This window comes from Homo sapiens, chromosome 10 (genome assembly GCF_000001405.40).
Source record: "Homo sapiens chromosome 10, GRCh38.p14 Primary Assembly".
In the NCBI taxonomy this organism is placed as follows: Eukaryota; Metazoa; Chordata; class Mammalia; order Primates; family Hominidae; genus Homo; species Homo sapiens.
This window is the reverse complement of record NC_000010.11, coordinates 75,632,182-75,653,809: the sequence shown is the minus strand read 5'-3', so window position 1 is coordinate 75,653,809 and position 21,628 is coordinate 75,632,182. Positions and strand designations below refer to the sequence as shown.

Here is a 21,628-nt window from a genome sequence, read left to right as displayed (position 1 = left end):
GGTTATTGGGCTCAAGTTTCAAGGAGTGCATTTTCACACACAAGTATAAGATCATACTTAGAGTTATAAACTAAAACTAAAGAAAAATCTCTTGAAAAGATTAGCAATATAAGTGTTTGTGATTGAAGTTATGTCTAGATGGCTCTTTAGCGAAGCATACGTACATGTGTATGTTACACAGCACATGCAAGGGCAACCCACAGGCACTCTCCCAAGACTGTCCAGAAAATTATATTTTCATTATTACAGTATATTGTATTCAACTGGATATTTACATTGTTACCCTGCAACTCTCTCTCACTCCCCACTGCTTTGGGGAAGGGGCAAATTTAATTAATTTCAAATTAGATTTAGAGTCCTCCTTTATCAGACTTGAATACACCTCTACCTAAACAAGAAGGGGACAGGAACTGAAAATTTTGACTTTTCCTTCAAGAGACCAGACCCTCACCCATCACCTCGAAGTGACAATTAGCAGTTTCTGCAGCACATTATATGAGAACTAACAAGGCAAAGGAATTGAGGGCAGGTTTTTCTCTTCACGATCCTGTCTGAAGCTTAAAAGAAAGCCTGAACACTAAAGAATTCTGAATCCATGTCAGCTCAATAGAGGGCTAAGTCTTTTATCTTCACCTGGAATAGGAATGAAAGAAGAAAAACCCAACAGTTCATTCACTTCCCCAAAAATATTCTCTGCTTCAGTCTTAGAGAGCTTGGAGTCCATTAAAGCCAGAGTGGGTCTCAGAAATCACCTAATGTGACCACCTTATTTTAAAGGGGAGCAAACCTGAGCCCAAAGAAGTCAAGCAACTTGCCCAAGCAGAGAGAGTGTTCAGAATCAACATCTCTGGCCTTTAGTCACCACTTCTCTAGCAGAGGAGGGAAATAAAAGTATGAGCTTTACTCCAAGTGGTAAGAACTTTTGCCCAAATTTTTTTTCCAAGTGCTTGCAAAATTCTATATCAACATATGAATTATGTTTAAACTAGAAACAGGCATTAATGGGCTCAGAAAGAAGTGATCAAAGGGGACCCTATTTTCACAGAATGCTTCCTGGACAGATAGAAGAAACACACACACACATCCCCCAGAATACATGTCTGATAGACCCAGATATGGCATCTCCCACTGACTCCCTCAAAGGAACTCACCGGAAGACACTGCAGCCGAGGACAGTGGACTGTACATTTTATGAGAAAGTCAGTTCTAGACCCAAAGATTAAAACAAAGTACAGGCAGCTCAAAACCCAAGAGGGAAAGCTTAATGCTTCACAGAACTATTCACAGACAAGTTTAAAGAAGAAGCAGTTTATCAGACAAAATAGTTCTGCAAAGCACTGTGATATAGTCAGAAAAACAGCTAGTTCCCAACTAAGTTTATCTGCCCTGACAGCTTCTGTCTTGGCCTGGCAGAGGCTGAGTGTCTACACAGTGAACATAAAGATAACCTACAATGGCTACACATCCCCATCCATTTGCCAAAGGTCACTAAGGATTGAGCATTTTGCTTCAGTGCCTCCACTAATCCAAAGACATGCCAATCTGCTTACTGTTACACAACGTCAGGAGGTTTGGATTTTACTTATCGAGGGATGTCGGACTTGCTTTGTCAGAACTTGGTGGCTATTAGCACAAGGCTGAGTGCCCATGGCTGCAATGAATTTTTTAAAATTATCTGGTTTTAGGATGCCCAGGAAAGAGGACCTGACTAACAAGATGGTGGTAACTATTGTTGGACAACATTTCGCTTTGAGAACATAAAAGCCAAATGGTGAAGCAATGAGAAATTAAATTCATGGCCTGGAAAACAAGCCAAGATTTTAAAATGTCATGTTGATACAGTAGGTGCTCTTGAGAGTGGGGTAGAAAAGATGTCAGGAACTGGATTGATTGCATTTTCATAGCAATACTGTGTGATGGAAGTGGAGAAGTGTCAAGTCTATTGGTACCCTTAAGTGCTTTAGGGGCTCATACCATATCTTTCATCAAAACCCTATACAATGTAAAAAACCCACCATCATATAGCTCAATGTGCTCAGTCACCAAGGCCTACAAAAGACTCTTCCCATAAAAGCCTAAGCAAGATTGGCTGGGTCCTTATGCCTTCCTTTTGGGCCACCGGGAGGTGCTGTTAACAGCAGCATGGCTCTCAACTGACAGATAACTTGGAAAGATAAAGGTGACTATATTCCCTCTTCTAACACAGCTTGAAAATCTCCTCCTAGTACGCCTAAGCCAACATGATTTGGCTTATACACAGATCCTAAGAGGAGCTAATATTTTTCCTTGAGTGTCCAGAGAATGGATGAATAAATGAGCTTGTTGTGAGAGACCACAACACTTCCTATTGACTTCCAGCTGCAGCCTAAGAAGACTGAAATGCACAGAAATCCCTAAGTGGGAGAGTATCCAAGGGCTTATGACAGTGTGCACAGTCTTCAGGGCTGAGCGATACCCTCAAACATAACCCTTTAGAATCACATTTTCTGCCCAGATCCTAGAGCATGGAAGCAGCTTTCTTCTTGAGCCCAGGTTTCGGGACTCATGGATTTACCTCACAGCTCACTGGTAGATGAGGTATACATGATTGGTGCTTAGGGATATATCCTGTCTCTTGCCATACAGCAACATTTTGGCATAACAGCACACAGAGTACAGAAACCTCACTGTGAAAATATACACAAGGCAAGAAAGAAGGAAGACACGGGCCTTTCTAGGGCTAACAGAGAAGAATGTCAGGAGAGAAAAAGACAGAGAAGATCAGGTAGAAAATGGTGGAGAGAACATTTTGGGCCAAGTGTTTTTTTTCTCTTTTCACAACAATGTGAATGACACAAAGAGGCTTCCCTGACCTGAGGAGAGAGTAGGCTGCCCTTTGATGCTGGGGCGACCATCTATAATGCTGATGAGAGTTCTCTCTGGCCCTGTTTGCCCACCATGGGGGCTCATCCTTTGACCGCATCCTCACCCCGGTGCTGACCTCCAGTTTAGTCATGGGACTGCAGGAAGAAGGGTCATCTGAGGGTCAGGAAGATGGTGGCCCTCACACTCACCAGAAATCTGAGCCTTCCAGTTAGAAAAGGGCCCTCCCTCCCTTTCCTTTTAAAGACTTGAAAGACCATTCCAAGTCTGTTTTCTCTGTTGACTTTAAAATCGCCAATACTATCACCTTTCCTTTTCAAAAGTTGGGCAGAGAGGCAAAGAATTGTGGTTGTGACCTGTTCCAGGGTCAGAGCCAAGAGTAGACCCTGCATTGCAACTCCTATCTAGCGGTCTAAATGTTTAAATTCTGCTATCTCTCAACCTTATCATGAAAAAAAAAAGTCAATAATTTAATGGGGGAGACAAAAAATAATTTTGTTATTAAAAGAATAGAGAACCTAGAAATAACTCTTGCATAGATGGTCAAATGATTTTGACAAGGTTACTAAGACAGTCTTTACAACAAATTGTGCTGGAAAACTGGACATCCACATGCCAAAAAAGTGAGTTGGACCCTTACCTAACACTATCTACAAAAATTAGCTCAAAATGGATCAAATAACTGAGCATTTAAGAATGAAAACGATAAAACTTTTAGAAGAAAACATAGGGGGAAAGCTTCATGACACTGGATTTGGCAATGATTTCTTGGATATGACACCAAAAGCACAGGCAACAAAAGAAAGAAAATAGACAAACTAGACTTCATCAACTAAAATCTTGCACATCAAAGGACACTATCAACAGAGTACAAAGGCAACCTATGGAATGAGAAAATATATTTGCAAATCACATATCTGATAAGGGATTAATACTCAAAATAGAAGTCCTAATGCTCAACAATAACATCAACAAAAGAAGACTCAATTCAAAAATGGGCAAAGGACTTGAATAGACAGTTCTCCAAAAACATATGCATATGGCCAATAAGTACATGTAAAGGCATTCAATATGACTAATCATTAGGGAAATACAAATAAAAGCCACATGAGATGCTACTCATACTCACTGAGATGGCCATCATCACACACACCCAAACAAAAAGAAGAGTTGGCAAGGATGTAGAGAAATCGGAAAGTTGTGCAGCTGCTATAAAAAACAATATGGCAGTTCCTCAAAGAATGAGAAATATAATATGACCCAGCAATTCCTCTTCTGGGTATACACCCAAAAGAACTGAACAAAGAAACAGGAAGAGATATCTGTGCACTAATGTTTACAGCAGCATTATTCACAGTAGACAAAGACAGAAGTGGTCCAAGTCTCCACTGATGGGTGAACAGATAAAATATGGTATGTACATATAGTGGCATTATTTGTAATAGCCAAAAACTGGAAATAATCCAAATGCCTATCAACATATGAACAGATACACAAGTGTTGTGTTCAAAAAACAAAGTGCTGAAGAGGTATCTGTACACTCATGTTTAGGAAAGCACAATAGCCAAAAGGTGGAAGTAACCCAACTGTTCACTGATGGATAGATAAGCTAAATGTGATCTATACATACAGTGCAATATTATTCAGCCTTAAAAATGAAGAAAATTCTGACACATGCCACAATATGAACCTTGAACATAGGCTAAGTGAAAGAAGCCAGACACAAAAGGATAAATACTGTATAATTCACCCATATGAGGTACTCAGTGGTGCTCAGTCGAATTCAGAGAGCCAGAAAGTAGAATTGTGGTTGCTAGGGGCTAAGGGGAGGGAGGAATGGGGAGTTACTGTTTAATGGGTTTCAGCTTTACAAAATGAACAAAGTTCTGCAGATGGATGGTGCTGATGATTGCACAATATGAAGGTACTTAATGCCACTGAACTGTATACTTTAAAATGGTTAAAGTGGTTTAAAACAATGGGTTACATGGGACCACAGCCCATGTAACAGGAGAAACAATCATTCCATAGCCCAGTGCACTGGAAGTTCGAGTTTTCAACTACTCAGAACATCTGTTTCTTCATTTTTGATATGGGAATATGCCCACCACCCAAATGAGACAGAGCACCAGGGAGTCCTGGTATCATCCCTAACACATGTTAGGCATTCAATAAACCTTAGTTACCTGCTCCTTCCCCAGAGCAAATACTCTCTGTTTCCAACTTAGAAAAGTGAAACTTCCTTTTTTCTTAATTGTCAGGTTTGCTGTGAGGTAATTGGCAGCTTCCTTTGATTTCAGGATTGCTCTAGATGTTTTGCACAGAGAGGCTCCAGAGTCTTTGTAGGGCTTGATGGCCAGATAATGAGACTGTATTTCTGCTCACATCCCCAAGCAGACCAGGACCCAGGCCCACGTGGTCCATATTTGCATATGTGGAGCAGCACAAAATCTGAATGCAAGTAATAAATTTCCTATAAGAGCCCCCTGCACAGTCTCTACTTAGAAAGTCGAAATAGGACACAGGAAAAAAACACTTTTCCCGGGTTTTCTTTGATTCTCAAGCAGATAATTCTGCTCCACTGAGCAGCCCAAGTTGTAGGGAAAGGCACACCATGCTAGCAAGAGGCAGTGTGGCAGGGTGAGAAGCATCAGGTTTCAGAGACACAGAACCTTGGTTAAAACTCCAGCTTGGCCACTCACCATGATCTAGGGCAAGTTCTCAAACATTCAGCCTTGTTATCCTCATCTGTTAAATAAAGAGAACAGCCCCTGCCTAACAGGGTGGTTGTGAAGATTACTTAACTTAATGTACATCCTGATATAACAGTTATGAGAAAAACAAAGTATCACAGTATGAACATCAGCAGGTTCCCTGTTATATCCCTAAGCCATACTAGCTGAGCCACCCAAAGGGAAGTTGTGCTCCCTTTCTGAGAAGTAGCATTTGGTATCATTTGGAGGCAAGGGTGGAAACCATTCCTTTCAATACCCCATCTTCAGGCAAACCACAACTGCGAGCTCCAGAACTTCACTCTCCTGACTCTCGTGGTTTGGTGTGGGTAGGGGTGGTGGGTGAGAGCAGAAGTGGGCAGGAGTGGGACCAGAGAGAGACTAAGAGAGACCTAGAGACCAGCTACCTTGGTCCCTCTCTCCAAGTCCAATTCCCAGTCACCAAGAGGGCCAGCTATATCTTTGATTTTCGGTTCCATGAGATAAGTCAGTGCCTTTATAAGTCCTTTATTTATGCTTAAGTTATCTCAAGTTGGTTACTATTTTAATGCAATTAAGAGTCTTGACCAAGACACAAACCCAGAAGCCATACCCATACAGGGGTCACAAAAAAAGCTCTTACCTCTTCTACCTGCCTTCTCTCTTTGTCACATCAGCACACATCAGTGGGATGTACATGACCCATTCTGCTCATTCACCTCTTTGTTCAAGAGCATGCCTCCCTTTCTCCCCTACGTACACACACCACCACTGCCACTACCGCCACTCTATCTTGGCTAATTATACAAACTGCCAACAGCAATGTGCTGGTATTAGAAGCATGGAGTTGGCACCTCCCTCTGCATGGTCCCCAGCCTGTTTGAGTCTCCTTCATGGGGCTGAAAACCACCCATAATTACCTCCATCACAGCCAAAGATTTTAGTAACAATAGAGCATTTAAGTCTTTAGGGTTTTAAAAAAAAATTGGACATGGTTGCAAGAGTTCCAGCTCAAAGTTGCACTTTGTACACACTGCCTCGGGATGCACTTCCTACGACTTGTTGCAGCTGGTGAAGGAGGGTAGGAGAGGAGGCAAGCAAGGCCTCAGGAAAGTCTGGCAGCAAGAGCCGGGGAGGTCCGGGGGAAAAGCAGCGTTGGGCAAGCTCCATCTCCCTAATCTGCATGGGACTGCCGGCCAAGTTTGCTCTCTGAGCTGTGAGAAGGACCAATTAATTTATCAATCTGCACCTCTTTCTGCCATAACATATTTCCCTCTTGCCAACAAAAAATGTGTCCATTATCAGGCAGGTCCCTGTCCTCCTAAGCAGCCCATACGGCTGTATAATTACACTTCTTTCCTTGACAACTTGCATGATTGTTTTCCTAACAGTATATTACTTCGTTAGTACCTTCCAATATACGTTATTTTTAAACTGTCACTTTTGCCCAACTCATCCCAATTCGCACTCGTCTGTTTATCATAACAATCATTAATAACTGTCAGTCCACGCCATCAATGTAACGAACTCACTCCCTCATTAGCATGTTCTAGCATTTGTTCCGTAGAGGGGGCTGATTATTTTTTACAACAGGCCAAGCCAATTACTTTAGTGAAATGGAATCACATTAATCAAAACTTAACAAGGTGGCAAATTTAAAGATATCAGATTGCAAAAGACAGCATAACTAATATGTCAGTGTCAGAGGTAGCGTGTAGGTATGCAGCAGCTGTACTAAATATATCTCTTCGCGGAGGCCACATGAATTTTGACGTTTCATATGATCTGACAACTACCAAAGTGATATTATAGAAGGCAAGAGCCCGGTGCTGCACGGCTCACGATGACTTTTGTAGATTCTGGCAAGGGCAGTGTGAGCAGAGAGGGAGGTGGAAGAAGGGAGAAGAAAATGGTGGCCGCGCCTATCCAGGCTGGCAGACGGCAGTTCATCATGTCTCTCTGTGCCAAGGCATTTTCTTTTATACTTTAAATGATGATAGTCATCCATCACCGTCTGACAACTGCATCAAAACCAGCTGCAAAACATGCAAAGCCCAGCAGTCTAAAACATGCTGACACAACCAACAGAAAAACAGATTTTAAAATTTATTTATTTATTTATTTATTCCATAGGAAAAGAATGTGGGGGGAGGGAGAGAAGACCCAAGAAAGAATGGGGGTGAGGATGGAGGTGGGGGCACAACACAAAATGTTTAGGAGTACAGATAGAGGAAGGAAAATATCACGGCAGGAAAGGAGCAGGAAAAAAAAGACAGGGAACAAGGAAAAGAGTGAAATGGAGACAAAGATAGAGAGACAAAGAAAAGGGGAAAGAGATGAATAGAAAAGGCAGGACACAGAGAAGGATGAGAAGAAGGGAAAGAATAAATGCAAGTGGCTACCAGTATTGGCAAGAAAGGCAAGTGGAGACTCTCTTGTAAGTGGCTGATTCTACCCCAGGAATATTCCACCAGGCTGACCTCATCTCTCTACTCCACCAGCTAGTGCTTCAGTCCAAGCCTTTCTTACCCTCCTGCCAGAAGACACCAAGTTCCATGTAGGTCTTTCCCGCCTGCGTCCACCCCTTAAGTCAAGTTTCCCCCACCAGGACTCTGTTACACAGCATTGCTACTATCACCCTCCCAACCCATGGGTTCCCCCGACCCACAGCATCAAGTCTAACTGCAGTAAAGCACTTGGCACCTCCACCACCAGGCCACGTTCTAGCTCCGACATTCACAGTTGATTATTCCTGCCCCCACCCCCCACCAACCCACCCTCCTCTCTGGCCTCTTCTACCACCCACAAGGTAGTTCAAATCTCTGTCCTGACATTTACTAGCTGAGTGACCTTGAGTCAGTTACTGGACCTCTCTGAGCTTCCATTTCCTCATCTATAACAATGGGGACAGTATCACCTACAGTTCACAATTTATCTTTAAGAGTAAAATAAGTTGCCATGCACGGTGGCTCACGCCTGTAATCCCAGCACTTTGGGAGACTGAGGCGGGTACATCACCTGAGCTCAGGAGTTCAAGACCAGCCTGGCCAACATGGCAAAACTCCTTCTCCACTAAAGATACAAAAATTAGCCGGGTGTGGTGGTGCACATCTGTAGTCCCAGCTACTCAGGAGACTGAGGAAGGAGAATCGCTTGAGCCCAAGAGGCGGAGGTTGCAGTGAGCTGAGATCGTGCCATTGCACTCTAGCCTGGGAGACAGTGACCCTGTCTCAAAAAAAAAAAAAAAAGAGTAAAATAAGTAACACAGAGAAAGCACCCAGAAAGAGGCTGAACACATGAATAGACACCACTCCTAAGAGTGGGCCTTGAGGTAGAGACTTTGTGTTTATTCATTTTTTCAATTAGGACAGAGTAAGCAAGCTCTGGAATTCTGCAGAAGTGAAGTAGGGTAAAGCCCTTCTTTGCAGTTCTCATTCATGAGGTTTACATCCTTTCCAGGACCTCTAGCCACGTATTTAATAAACTAGAGAATCAGTTGGCGGCATGCAGTGGATAGAAGAGGGCCAGTGTGATCTGCAGGCTTTTCGGGGATGAGCTAGCACACAAAAGCCTAAGGGTCCAGTGTGACACATCTGCCTGCATCCTTCCCTGGACCCACAACCCAGCCGGCTCAGCCACCCTGCTGTGACTGTATTTAATGAAGCCTGTTTATTTATTTACTTATTTTGAGGAAGCCCAGAACCAGGTACACCATGCTGGCAAAGACCCCATTGTATAATGTGATTAGATTCAGTTATATCACACAGTTCATGAAATTGTGCTATGATTCATTTTTACAACTTAAATAGCTATTTGGTTGGGTTGCCAGGTTGAACGTGATAAATGTGTATGATAAAACAGAACAAAGAGAAGGGCCAGTGCCTGTAAACTAAAACATTAGTCAGTGTATTAACCCCTTCCCTCCTTAATTGTGATGCCTTCCTGAGGGCAGCTGCCCCACAGTCATCCTCCTTCAAACCTTGTATCTGGTATCAGAACGGTGCCACTGCCAAAGGTGATGATTTACCCCTCTTCCCAGCAAGGAAAAAGCTTTTTCCAGAAGGGTCACCATCCATTCTATCTTAATCCCTGTCTTGGGATAAGAGGGAAGCTACAAGTGTTCCTGGGTCCTATTTCAAAGTCTAATCACCTCCCAGATCTCCAGCTTACATTCTAATCCTGAATCCCATGTCTCGAACATTTAACTCATGTCCAACTTAACATTCAGGGAAATCATGATGAGATATTCACATGCCACCTAATTATTCTTAAATCACAAGAAATAAAGCTGCACTAAAAACAAATCAACATAAAACTCTGCTGAAATAACTTAGGGGGGAAAATACAGGACTCACATCACTCATATCAGTGTCTTTCACATTGCATAAGAGTTTTTTCTTACTGTACCAGGGTACCTCTCTATTTAAAGATATCCTAAAGTAGACTCTCTAAAAAAGCATATCATCATTTTGTAAATTATTTTTTTAAAGAAAATTGGATTTTAATTTTAAAGAATTGCATCATTCTAATGTTGGAAGAGGTCTTACCAATTAACTCCAGCCCCAACTCATTTTTCTTCATTTCACAGAACAGAAATCTGATGTGGCATATGTTCCAAAGATGGGTATCACACATCTCACAGCAATATGCCCTTCTAGAATGTGACATTGCCATTTCCTTATCTGGAGGTAGACTAAGTCCTTCCCTTGAAACTAGGCAGGCTGGCATTACTGTCACCAACAGAGTGCAGGGAAGTTACACCAGGTGACTGCTGAGGCTGGACCATAAAGGGATGTAGCTTCCATCTCATTCCCCGGAACACTTGCGCTTGGAGCCTGGAAGAGGACTTATTGATCTTCTAATAGGGAGTATCGCAACTTTACAAAGGAGGAACTGAGATTTAAAGAAGTTGCATTATATTTTCCAATGTCATACTGCTAACAAATGAATTTAGAGTCCATTTTCAATCCCTTAGTTATTTATTACACAGTTTCTTCCAGAGTTAGCATGGACAATAATGACTTGAATCAATTAACCTACTCTCTTGAAATCAGAATGTGTGTATGAATGAGTGAAATCAGTTTTAACAAAGTTTAAAAAAAAGTGTTAAGAGAAATTGTCAAAAAAAAATTTTTTTTTAATGTTTTAAAAAGTCCTACCGTGCTGAGGTGGCCATGAAGCCAAGCCCATGGAGAGACATTTCAGATAATCCCAGCCCTTAGCATCAAGTCATCTTCAGTCTTTGAGTCCTTCCAGCCCAGGTCCAAGCTTGTGGACCAGAGACAAGCCACTCCACTGTGGCCTCTCCAAATTCCTGACCCACACAATACATGTGCTTATGACATGCTTGTTTCAAATCCCTAGATTTTGAAGTAATTCAGCAAAAGATCATGGGAACACTAGGAAGCCTGAGGGAGCAAAGGCCATGTGAGAACCAGAGCCTGGGTCTGCTAACTCTAGAGTTAGCACTGTTTCCCCTTTACTGCCCTTCTGGTGTGACTTTCACATAAAGCAAGGTGTACCTATGCCACATACACCAACTTGCTATACCAGTAAATAAGGCAGGAACTAAGACAACTTTAGCCAAAAATTCATCCACTGCATAGGGAATCAGCAGAGGTTTCCACTGCCCTTCAGACTGGGAAAACCTCCCAAAAGACCAGCCAAGAGCTAACCCTACAGTGACCAGAAACAGCAAAAGTTGGGTATTTGGGGGATCCAAGCAGAAAATATATTCACTACCCAACAGTCACTGACATTCACTGGCCCGATGATTTGTTCCCAAGTATAAAATTCCCTGAAAAGCAATCACTACCACAAACGGAGGCCCTTATATCACATCTCCCACAAATTCCACTTTACTTCCAGCTTGGAGAGTATCAACAATCCCCCAGTTTGGTCCTCTGGACATTGAAGTCAGGGATTCAAGTCTGGATACTCACCATGGAACCAACAGGGAAACGTTCATGCTTAGCAGACTTAGGACTTGAGACTGAGGCTCAAACAGATGAAGACCACTACATCTTACAGCTGAGACTTTTCTTCTTTTCATATCTTTCCACGTGAGCCTCACACCAAGATAAACTTTCAGATCCACCCTGTTCATGAATCTGCGAAGAATCTGTTTCTTTACCCCCTTCTCAGCCAACAGAACCCAACGTAATGGTCTTTGAAGGAAAGAGACCCTTGGATGAGCTGCTTCTTAGTGGTTGAGAATATCATCCACCCCATGTTTGCTATGTGAGGAGTTATGAGTACAATACACTTTCTCTGCACATTTATCATAACTTATTTCCAGATCCAAAATTAAACTTCATGGCCTGACAAAGAATATTTATCTTTCTTCTTTTTTTAAGAGGTAGGGGTCTTGCTATGTTGCCTGAGCTGGACTCAAATTCCTAGGTTCAGTAATTCTCCCACCTCAGCTTCCTAAGTTGGATATTTATCTTTCTGGTAGATTTATTTAAATGAAATCTACCAAATCTATCTAAATCACGGCAAGGGCTTTTTGGCTCACACCTGTAATCTGAGCATTTTGGAAGGCCAGGGCAGGAAGACAGCTTGAGCCCAGGAATTCCAGACCAGCGTAGGCAACATGACAAAACCCCGTCTCCACAAAAAAAAAATTTTTTTTAAATATAGCCTCAGGAGGTCGAGGCTGCATTGAGTTGTGATTGCACCACTGCACTCCAGCCTGAGTGACAGCGAGACTCTGTCTTTAAAAATAATAATTATTAAATCACATTTAACCATTATTTAATGAACTATCTTTATTAAAAATAAAAACCAAAACTATAAACTTCAATAATATCTGTATATATATATATTATATATTAACATATCCACATATTAATGTATTATTTGAATTTTCTAAATCAAGACCATCCTGGACAGCTCAGCACACAGATACACCTTCTGTAGGAAGCCTTTCATAGTAGAGCAAAGGAGGACCGATGGCTCCTCCTCCCATCGTCTAACCAAAAATACAGAATTTCATCTGTTATTCTCTTTTTAACCTCCCAAGGGTGCACTGGCCCTTTCTCCTCCCTTAAGCAAGTCACTTCATCTCTTTCAATCTTAGTTTTCTCATTTGTAACACACTCAGAGAGATAAAATGACACAGAGCTCAAGTTCACAGAGCTTGGCAAGAACTTAAACCCAGGTCTCTGACTCTCCATAAAGTGTTTTTCCACCTCTACTTCCTTGTGTGTCTTAACAGTGGTGTATTCTACTGTTGTCATCCTCTTCACCAGGGCCCTGCAATCACAGGTGGAGTGCAGTAAAGCCCAAGTAATGCGGAAGCTGGCAGAAGAATCTTGCACCTCAGCACATCAATGCAAGTGGCCCAGGCCCCAAACTGAGAATCCCCCACTCAGACTCTCAAATACCAAACTGGCATGGGGGAAAAAAATATAAAATATCACTTGAAGGGTTTTTGTTTTGTTTTGTTTTGTTTAAAAAAAAGCTTCCCTTTGAACTCAACATAGAAAGTCAGCTGAGGACAGAGCCTATAGCTCTGCTCTCCCCAGCATTTTCACCTTGCAACAGACACTCCCCAGCCTGACCGCTATGGGAATGCAGAGGCTGCAGATGGGAGAGGGGCCTCTAATTTATTTCCCTCCCTGATTTATTTTCCCCCCTGCACATCACTTTGGTATGGCAACAATGCATAATTCGATTACACGTGATATATAAAATCATTGCAGCTGTTGAGAAATATTCACAGCAAGAGAATTTCAGATCTAAACTCAGACACAGATACACAGAATGCAGACACACAGTCAGACTTTGTGAACATCCTGCTAAAATCACAAAGGGAGGGGAGAAGGCAAAATGCTCTTCTGTCTGCTGATTAGTATTTCCAGTGTTCCTATCTGCATCCACTGTTCATTGTCCATAAATGCAGATTTAAGAGTACCTCCTTAGAAAGAAAAACATCTACCTGCCTAATGGGGGGAAGCAGCATCTTGGGGTGAAAATGATGGCAATGCAACAAAAAAATCAGACTGTGTACCATTTAATTTTACTTTAAAAATGCTGCTATGAAACCAGGTGCATTTAATTCCCTTTAAACGCCATGTAAAAGTTTCTCTCCCGCCTGCTCACTCTGTGGGCTACATACCATACCTAAGATTAATCCCTCAGGAGTTTTTTATTTCCTGTTCTGCCTATCTTTCATCTTCACCCCAGACTAAGCAGATGGATGTGAATTCAAAGTTTTCTGATCTTTAGCACAAGTTATGGAGGGTTATCTTTGGCTGTATATCTTTCTGCTGGCAGTGCTCCCTTGGTGATGAAGGATTAACCACCCCAGCTGTCTCTTCCCAGAATGATGCAGTGCCGTGCTCCTCAACACGACAGCATCACTTAATCTTAATGTCCGCTCTCCGAGCGCAGCCGCGCAGGACAAAGCCAATCAACATCAGATGCCACCAAGATGGACCTACTGCTTGGCCCTGGAGTCTCTCACCCTCTCACTCCTATTAATCAACATCATCCAACCCAATCCCAGAGTTCACTTCTCTCAAACCTAAGTTAAACCAAGCCGGGGTCCCTGTTAACCATCTGAAGCACAGGGCGGGAGGGGGCTGGTGGGAGACAATCAGCCGCTTCAGGAGCACTGCACGCCAAGCCGCATGGCTGAATGAGAGAACTTCCCTCTGCCCAACTTCTTCACGGTGCCAACACTGGTTCTGGAGCACTCAACATGTCTAAGTCTAATGAAATTCACCCATTTGCCATAATAGAGACTGATCTCAAATGAAGCCTACCTGTCTTCCAGAGACCCCAAAAGAATCTGAAGAAAGATATGTGCCCATTCACAGCCAAACTGTTTCGGCTCCCCTTCCCTCATCTCCACCCTTACCAGCAGACCTGCCTCTGCTTACACTTGTAAAGCCAGGTCTAACACATTCTACTACTTTTTGCACAAAAACACTTAGCCTTGCCACAAACAGCACAAATGGAAAGTCTGACCCAACCAAAAAAATGCCTTGTTTGGGTGACTGATATACCCACAAATACATTTAATCTGAAGAAGAATCCTATCTTCCCTACATTTTTAAGTTTACGTATCACAGGTGGGGAACGCAAAATGGTACTCTCATGGTTTTCTCTAGCTCTGAGCAATTACAGTAATGTACCTCCCTTTTCTTTCTTAAGAAAGGGAACAAAAAAGTCAGCCTAGATCTCAAAGGCAAACGTAATAAAACAGTAAATTATTGCTGGAGTTTACTAAACAAATGCAACCTAGTTAAATTTGGAAAAATCTTCACTTTTGCTTACATTTGCAATTTTACTGCTGAACTACTGGTATTTCTTACTTATGCAACATTAAAATGTATAAGAAATCCTCTTGTGTGCTATATCCAGCATCTACTCTTGATTTATAATACCCAATTTAGGGGGGAAAAAACACAACTAAACCTGATTTAAATCACAGATTACTCTGTAAAACACAAGCAAGGAACTATTCCAAATCCTAAATGTAATTTAAACATATTTATATTTTACAGTGATATATTTTCCCCATTCCTTGTCTTACGACTGTAAACTTTCTATAATTATATAAGCAATTTCCCTAAGGTCACAACATTGATCATAGTTATAAATTGCTAAAGTACAACAACACACAGTGTGCAGCAAAATATATGCTGGACATCACAAACGGTTTCATCAAATCAGGAATGGGTGGGGGAAGCAGAGCGAGAGAAGAAAGAAAGGAGACAGAGAAAGGGGAAAAAGTAACAAATTTTCCAAGAAGTCATTACACAGTGTCACATCCTCTTCCCCAAAGCCGTTTGGAACACAGTTTTTACAAATTGGCTTGCAGTAGGGCTTGGTTTAATTTTTGATGCTATTCTCAACCTTTTGCCTATTGCTCTGAAAGCCGCTTGAGAAGGAAACCTGGGAAGCAAACTCCAGCAGTCACTCAGTTAAAACAGGAAAAACCAAGATGATAAATCCCACACCACTGAAAACCTGCCTTCTGCCATCAACTGTAGATTCTCAAACCGTGTTCCTAGGAACCTGAGGATTCCATGGAGACACTCTCTGAAGCAGTTGGGATTCAAGCTTTCCACCCCATTCTTTAGCCAGAGCATCTTCTCTTTGGTCTGTATCCTGTATTGGGACTCTGTGGAAGAAATCTTACTTGGAAAAATAGTTTCAAAGGTTAAAATAAAGAGGAAAAAAAAAGATTTGGAAACGACCACCCCATGATGCTGTCCTCATGAAGGATGAGACCTAAAGGGAGTTATTTGAGGGTCTCTGGCTGTTTGTCAGTGCTGCTGGTGTTTAGGGGTAACACTTAATGAGAGAGGATTCAGGTGCTCTCTGCACACCATGCAAATGGGGTTGCTGTCAGGCGCCTCCAGCGTCCAGGTTCCTGCCAGCCGGGCTGACAGTCCAGTCACCCCTCATAGTTAACAATGCCACATTCCACTCTGGGCAGCTGCCTATTAGGAAGACAGCTGAGACCCAGAGGGGAGGCAGAAATCAACGTGTGACAGACACTCCCGTGATCAATGTAAAATAATCCTAAAAAGACCTGTGCTCTCTGAAAGCTTAGGAACCAAGTGGTTCCAATTTTTCCTTCTCAACATTTTCCAAGGAAGGCTAAGCATCTCCATAGCTCAGGATCTTGGTGCAGCTTTCCGAGAAAACTACACAGCTACACACTACATGCTACACGTGTTTTCCAAGAGGACAGCCAGTAAGAGATTAGTCTCCTGGAGCAAATGATGCTCCCCATGTCTCCCTCCACTCCATACCCCTTCTCTCTACTCATCTGCTGCTGCTTCTTTATCCTCTTCCTCCGCCTCCTCCCTCCCCCTCTCTGTCTCTGCCTCCATTTTTCTATGTATGTACTGTCAATAGCTCCCAAATAAAGCACATCTGCCTTCCTGCAACAGCACAACTTTCCTTGACCACAGGTAATATTCACAGTATTTAATGGACAAGGCACAGACCTGGACCAATCAGAACAGAACTGGCTACAAACAGTTCACAGTCACACACAAAGGTGAACGGAATCAATGTAAGTCATGACCCAACACCAAAAGAGAAACTGTAGCGTCTATCAGTTAACCTTACAAGCTTCAAAGTCAGAGAGACCCAAGTTCAAATCTCCACTCTACCAGTTTCTGTAGAACCTCAAATTGCTCAATTGTCTCCTCCAATAGAGTAGGCATAATAATTCCTACATGTGAAAAGTAAATGAGTCAATGCATATAAAACTAAAAGGTGGCATACTGTAAGTGTTCAATAGGTTAGATAGATACTTTCCCTTCAGTTAACTGTTTTTGGTTAGTTGGTTGTTTTCTGTTTTTGTTTCTTTCAGATTGCCTAGATGTGTGATGGATACCCAATAAACAAGTTAAAAAAAAAAAAGTCTTTGCCAATTCTGGTCTTAGAAGAAAAAGGAGAGATCTCCCGGCCCCAGGTGGACTCCACAGAGGGTGAATTCTTAAGAGTAGCTAAACTGCAGGTGGAATGAAGGCTGTTCATGACGCTGGGCTCTCACCCAGAAATACAGCAGGGCTGATGGCCTTTACTGGATTTTTATCACCTAATGAATTAAGAATATCACTCTATATCAATTTAGAAAATTCTATGTATAATTCATCAAAAAAGCTTAATTTTTTATTATTTCTTATTTTATAAATAATACATCTCATGAAAAAAAATGAAAAAAGGCAATTAAAATCACCTATAATCCTGTTGCCCAAGTAGTGATAATGATATCAATAGCTAATATTTTACTGAGAGCTTAGCATGTACCAGCATTGTGCTAAATGCATTACCTCATTCTCTAATTTAATCCTCACTATTGTTTGGCATTGGAAAGTGAGACTTAAAGTGGCTAGGTATTAAAAGGAACAAGATTACATGATTTTAAAAATGAAAGGGAAAATTTAATAAAGAAAATAAAGTGGCTAGGTAATTTGTTCAAGGTCAAATTGCCACACCACTCCTAAATGACAGCATCAGGATTTGAATTCAGGTCTGAATCTAAAGCTTATGCAGGAAAGTTCCATGCAATATTTCTTTCCAGGAATAACTGATGTACTTCCTTCAACTCTTTTTCCTGTACCTACACATAGGTACATAGGTGGATAGGTAGATGGATACAAAAGAAATCCTCACTGAATTACTTAAACATTTGCATAGGATTAATCAATAGAAATATACTAAAATTTTATTTGGTTCAGATACAAAATCTTACGTCCTATGGACCTTGAATTTCTTAAATAAGATGGTTTCTGTAGCACAATTGTTCAAATCTCAAGCACAAGGACTTCCCACTCCAGCACTAACCATTGAGACTTTGGACATGGCTTCTCAAAAATGAGTAAACAGGGTGCAGTACGAGCCCACAACCACAACCCATGGGTTTCTTAGAAAATACAGGAATGCAGACCAATCGTTTTAAAAAAAAAAAAATAGCAAGGAAAAACATGAACTTGACAACATAACATGCAGGGGTAGGAGCCTCTGCACAAACAATGTAATCAGGAAAATAAGTGTGGGCATCCTTTTAAATGTCAATAACGACCAATTTTTTTCATCCTTCAAATCAAATGCATCTTTTTTCATCAATCCCTGTAACTGTAGAACCAGAAACATTCCACTTTGGGCCCATTCATCTCTTTCCCTTGTGGGTGATGGTTGTGGCCCTAATTATGGACAGAAATTAGGCCTCCTGGTACATGTTTTTAAGGCCAGAACCTTGAATTCTATTTTGGGGGGACAGACAGACTCAAATTTCTCCAAAAACTGAAAGACTTTGAAAATAGAAACCACCCAGCAACCAATAGCCTCAACTCCTCAAAAGTCATTAAATAGAGAGAAGGGAGAAAACAAGGCCATCATACCATGCGAAAGGCCAAATCCTGCTTGCAGACACTCAGGCACAATTCTCGGGGCTCTAGTCCACCCTGGCCTGAAGGTGGCTCATTAAAAACTTAAATAATAGTAACTGCTGGCAAAGAGTTCCTTAAAGACAGCTGAGGTCCAGCCTGTCATTTATCAATTACTGATTTACGAACTCAAAACACAAATGTAGTGCAAAGGTCATCAGAGCCTGCATTCCCTTGTTCCCATTTCCTGGAAACTGCCCCAAACAGGTCCCAATTTCCTAGGCACCCAGAGCAAAGCAAAGCAGCAATTTCTCACATTTCTCTTAAAAAAGTGTCAAGGAATTTCATGGACCCTTAAGAGATGGGAAGACTACCTTTTCATGGGATTTCAACTTGATAAATTTGGACTATTTGGGAATATGGTTGTTTTCATCCTTTTTTCATCTTCTTTCACCTTTTCAGTAATGTTTTATAGTTTTCCTCATATAAATCCCCCATTCTTTCTTCTGAATTTGTAGGTATTTGTTGTTAGTGTTAATTGGAAATGAGACATATCCACCCCTCCCCTCCATTTTTGTTTGCTATATGAATTTTTCTATATTTTAACTACTTTATATAACTCTAATTGATTTAATAGTTTTTGAGTTGATTTGATTGGATTTTCCAGATTAGCAATGAGTTCACTCAAAAATAATGATATGTTTATCTCCTCCTTTTCATTCCTTATACCTCTGTTTTCAATTTCTTATCTTACTGCATTAGCTGAGGCAGGGATTGCAAGCTCAAATGCCCACTGGGGCGGGCAGGTAACATACAGAGTGAATTGAGCCAGGTGAGGACTGGTCACCTGGGGAATGCCACTCTGTGTCTATAGGCAGCAGCTGCCACTCTGTTCTGAGGTTACCCTCAGGAGAAAGAGTTCATTTTCCCAGATCTTCAAAAGAAGTCAGAGATAAGGATTTTGGGGGGAGGCAGGTGAAACCTCCAGTTCATTAAAGGTTAGCAACTAATTTTTAAAAATTGTAAACTTAGGGCAGGAGAAAATAGAATGCTTAATGGTCAGATTCATCACAAAAGGCACCAATAAACTCTAGGCAAGATCTTCCAAAATTAAGAAAGTACTGAATTTAAATCATAATGGACATGGCCACCCTTATCTCCACCCTGACTTTCTCTAATATAGGGCCACAAAAGAAGATGTCTGCTTTTGATTTGAGGTAAAGAGTCTGTATCGTGTTAAGTCTCCAGTGCTAGTTTACCGGGATATTTTATCAGAAATGAATTTTGAATTCCCTTAAGATAATTTGGTTTTCTCCTTTGACCCTAAGAGATTGTTTATATTAATAAATTTCCTAAGATCAGAAAGTTAGAATGAATGCTTAAAACAGCACACTGTGGGTGAAGCCACTATAATGTGTGCTTCCAAATAAAACACGTAAATAGATATTCCTTAATTTTTTAACTCTTTGGTTTTATTTTATTGACTAAACACTTGGTTCTGACTTGCTTTCTCACCCATATTCCAACAACTTATTCTAGTCTACTGTAATCCCAGTTATAAAACTGTCACTGACATCATCTGTTGCAAAAAAATTATTTACAACTGGATCCATCATCAACTCAGTCTACACTACCAGCTTTGAATTCCAAAGCAATTCCACACCACAATCCACATCTGTATTCTCAAATCCACTTTGATACAGTTTCCCAAGTCCACTTTGATACAGTTACCTCTTTAGAAAGATATTAGAATGACAAATTTTCTGGAAACAGGTTTTCTTCGGGGCTGGGGCTGGAAGGACATTAAATTAAAAAGATGGACCTGGCTTAAGACAGAAAAGACATTCAGTGCATGAATGTAAAAACATCACTAAACTTGACTTACAAAATTGTTAATTATGTATTTGACAGTGAATTATCACAAACAGCTGGGACTAAAGAATACAAACCCACACAGGGAGTGGAGAAAAGTACACTCAAATTCATACAAACACTATCAAAGAGGATGTTTAAACTCAGCTTCTGCAGTAACAACGTCTTCACTTACACAATGGGTTACTCACTGCCACCAAAATTCACAAACCAACTATTCCCAGGTTTCTAAGTGCAGGCTCTAAATTGGACATTCTTCTCCCCATTTAGAAAGTTACGCCATAAGGTTTGTGGCCACTAGAGAGAAAGAACCAGGCCAGGATCTAAAAGAATGTGCGCACAAAGGCTGTGAAAAGAAAAGCCGTCACTTTGCGAAGTTTGGTCTTAATTTTTTTCCAGACTATATGTAAATACTCTCAATGCCTTGGGAGACAGCTCCAGAGAAGTTTCCTGAGCCTGACATCCCATCTCCTCTCAAACACACGCTCAAGCCCTCCCCACATCTTCTGCCAGGAGTCTGCTCCCCTGGGACCCCCTCCCTTAACCCACAGGGAGGAGCCACTGTCAGAAACACTTGCATGGAGTTGTCGAGAAAATCCTTACAGCAAAGTCAATGACAAGGCAAAAGCCCAGACCAGACATCTTGGGGCAGACGTGGCTGCCTGGCTCTGAACACTGGGGGAAAGACTCTTGGCAAAAAAAAAAAAAAAAAAAAAAAAAAACTAAACTAAACTAAACAAAAAAACTAACCTCACTCTTTAGGGACATGTTCAGCCTTTCTGCATCAGAAAAGACACAGGCTCTCCCTACACTTGATACAAAGTCAGCATGGTTCCCTCTCCACAAGGCACATATCAGGGAAAAAAAGAAAATCTGATCTTTTTTTTAATCCCCAGCACATTTTAGCATATAACTCAGGTGAGAGTCTGAGAGTTGCAAGCTTAGATAAAATATTAAAATATTTCTCTAAACGCTAAACTTTCTAATAAGTCTGAGAGTTTATTAGGAAAGCCATCCCTGATACTCAATCTTGGCTAACTTAAGATGGTAAATTTCAAAGTCCAAAGGTTAGAGCCTTCAAGGAAAAAAAGAAAAAAGAGATAACACAACACTCTTTTCTTTTTAGATGGGATGATGAGACATCCTCGTCTGCCTCCAAGTATTTTTAGAAAATGCTGAGAACAACCAGATTGTAATTTAAGCCTCTCTGAAAAGTAAGGACCTCCAATGGACAGCCCAATACCTTTCCCTAATCATCTTTCCAAAGATTTCCACATCATAGACAAAAGTTTAAGAGGCTGATATCCCTCTGACTCTATCTCA

At 41.3% G+C, this 21,628-nt stretch overlaps 1 protein-coding gene across 2 annotated transcripts in view; it reads right to left on the bottom strand.

Moving 5' to 3' along the window:
- Positions 1-21,628, bottom strand: part of LRMDA (leucine rich melanocyte differentiation associated) — a 1,128,545-nt gene that overhangs the window by 906,359 nt on the left and 200,558 nt on the right. Inside the window, exon 1 of one of the 2 annotated variants that reach the window (NR_131178.2) lies at positions 6,217-6,301. The exons of the other annotated variant lie outside the window; for it this stretch is intronic. The gene's annotated coding sequence lies outside the window, so the exon portion shown is untranslated. Of the gene's footprint in view, positions 1-6,216; positions 6,302-21,628 lie in introns of those variants that run through there. 2 annotated transcript variants of the gene reach the window in all.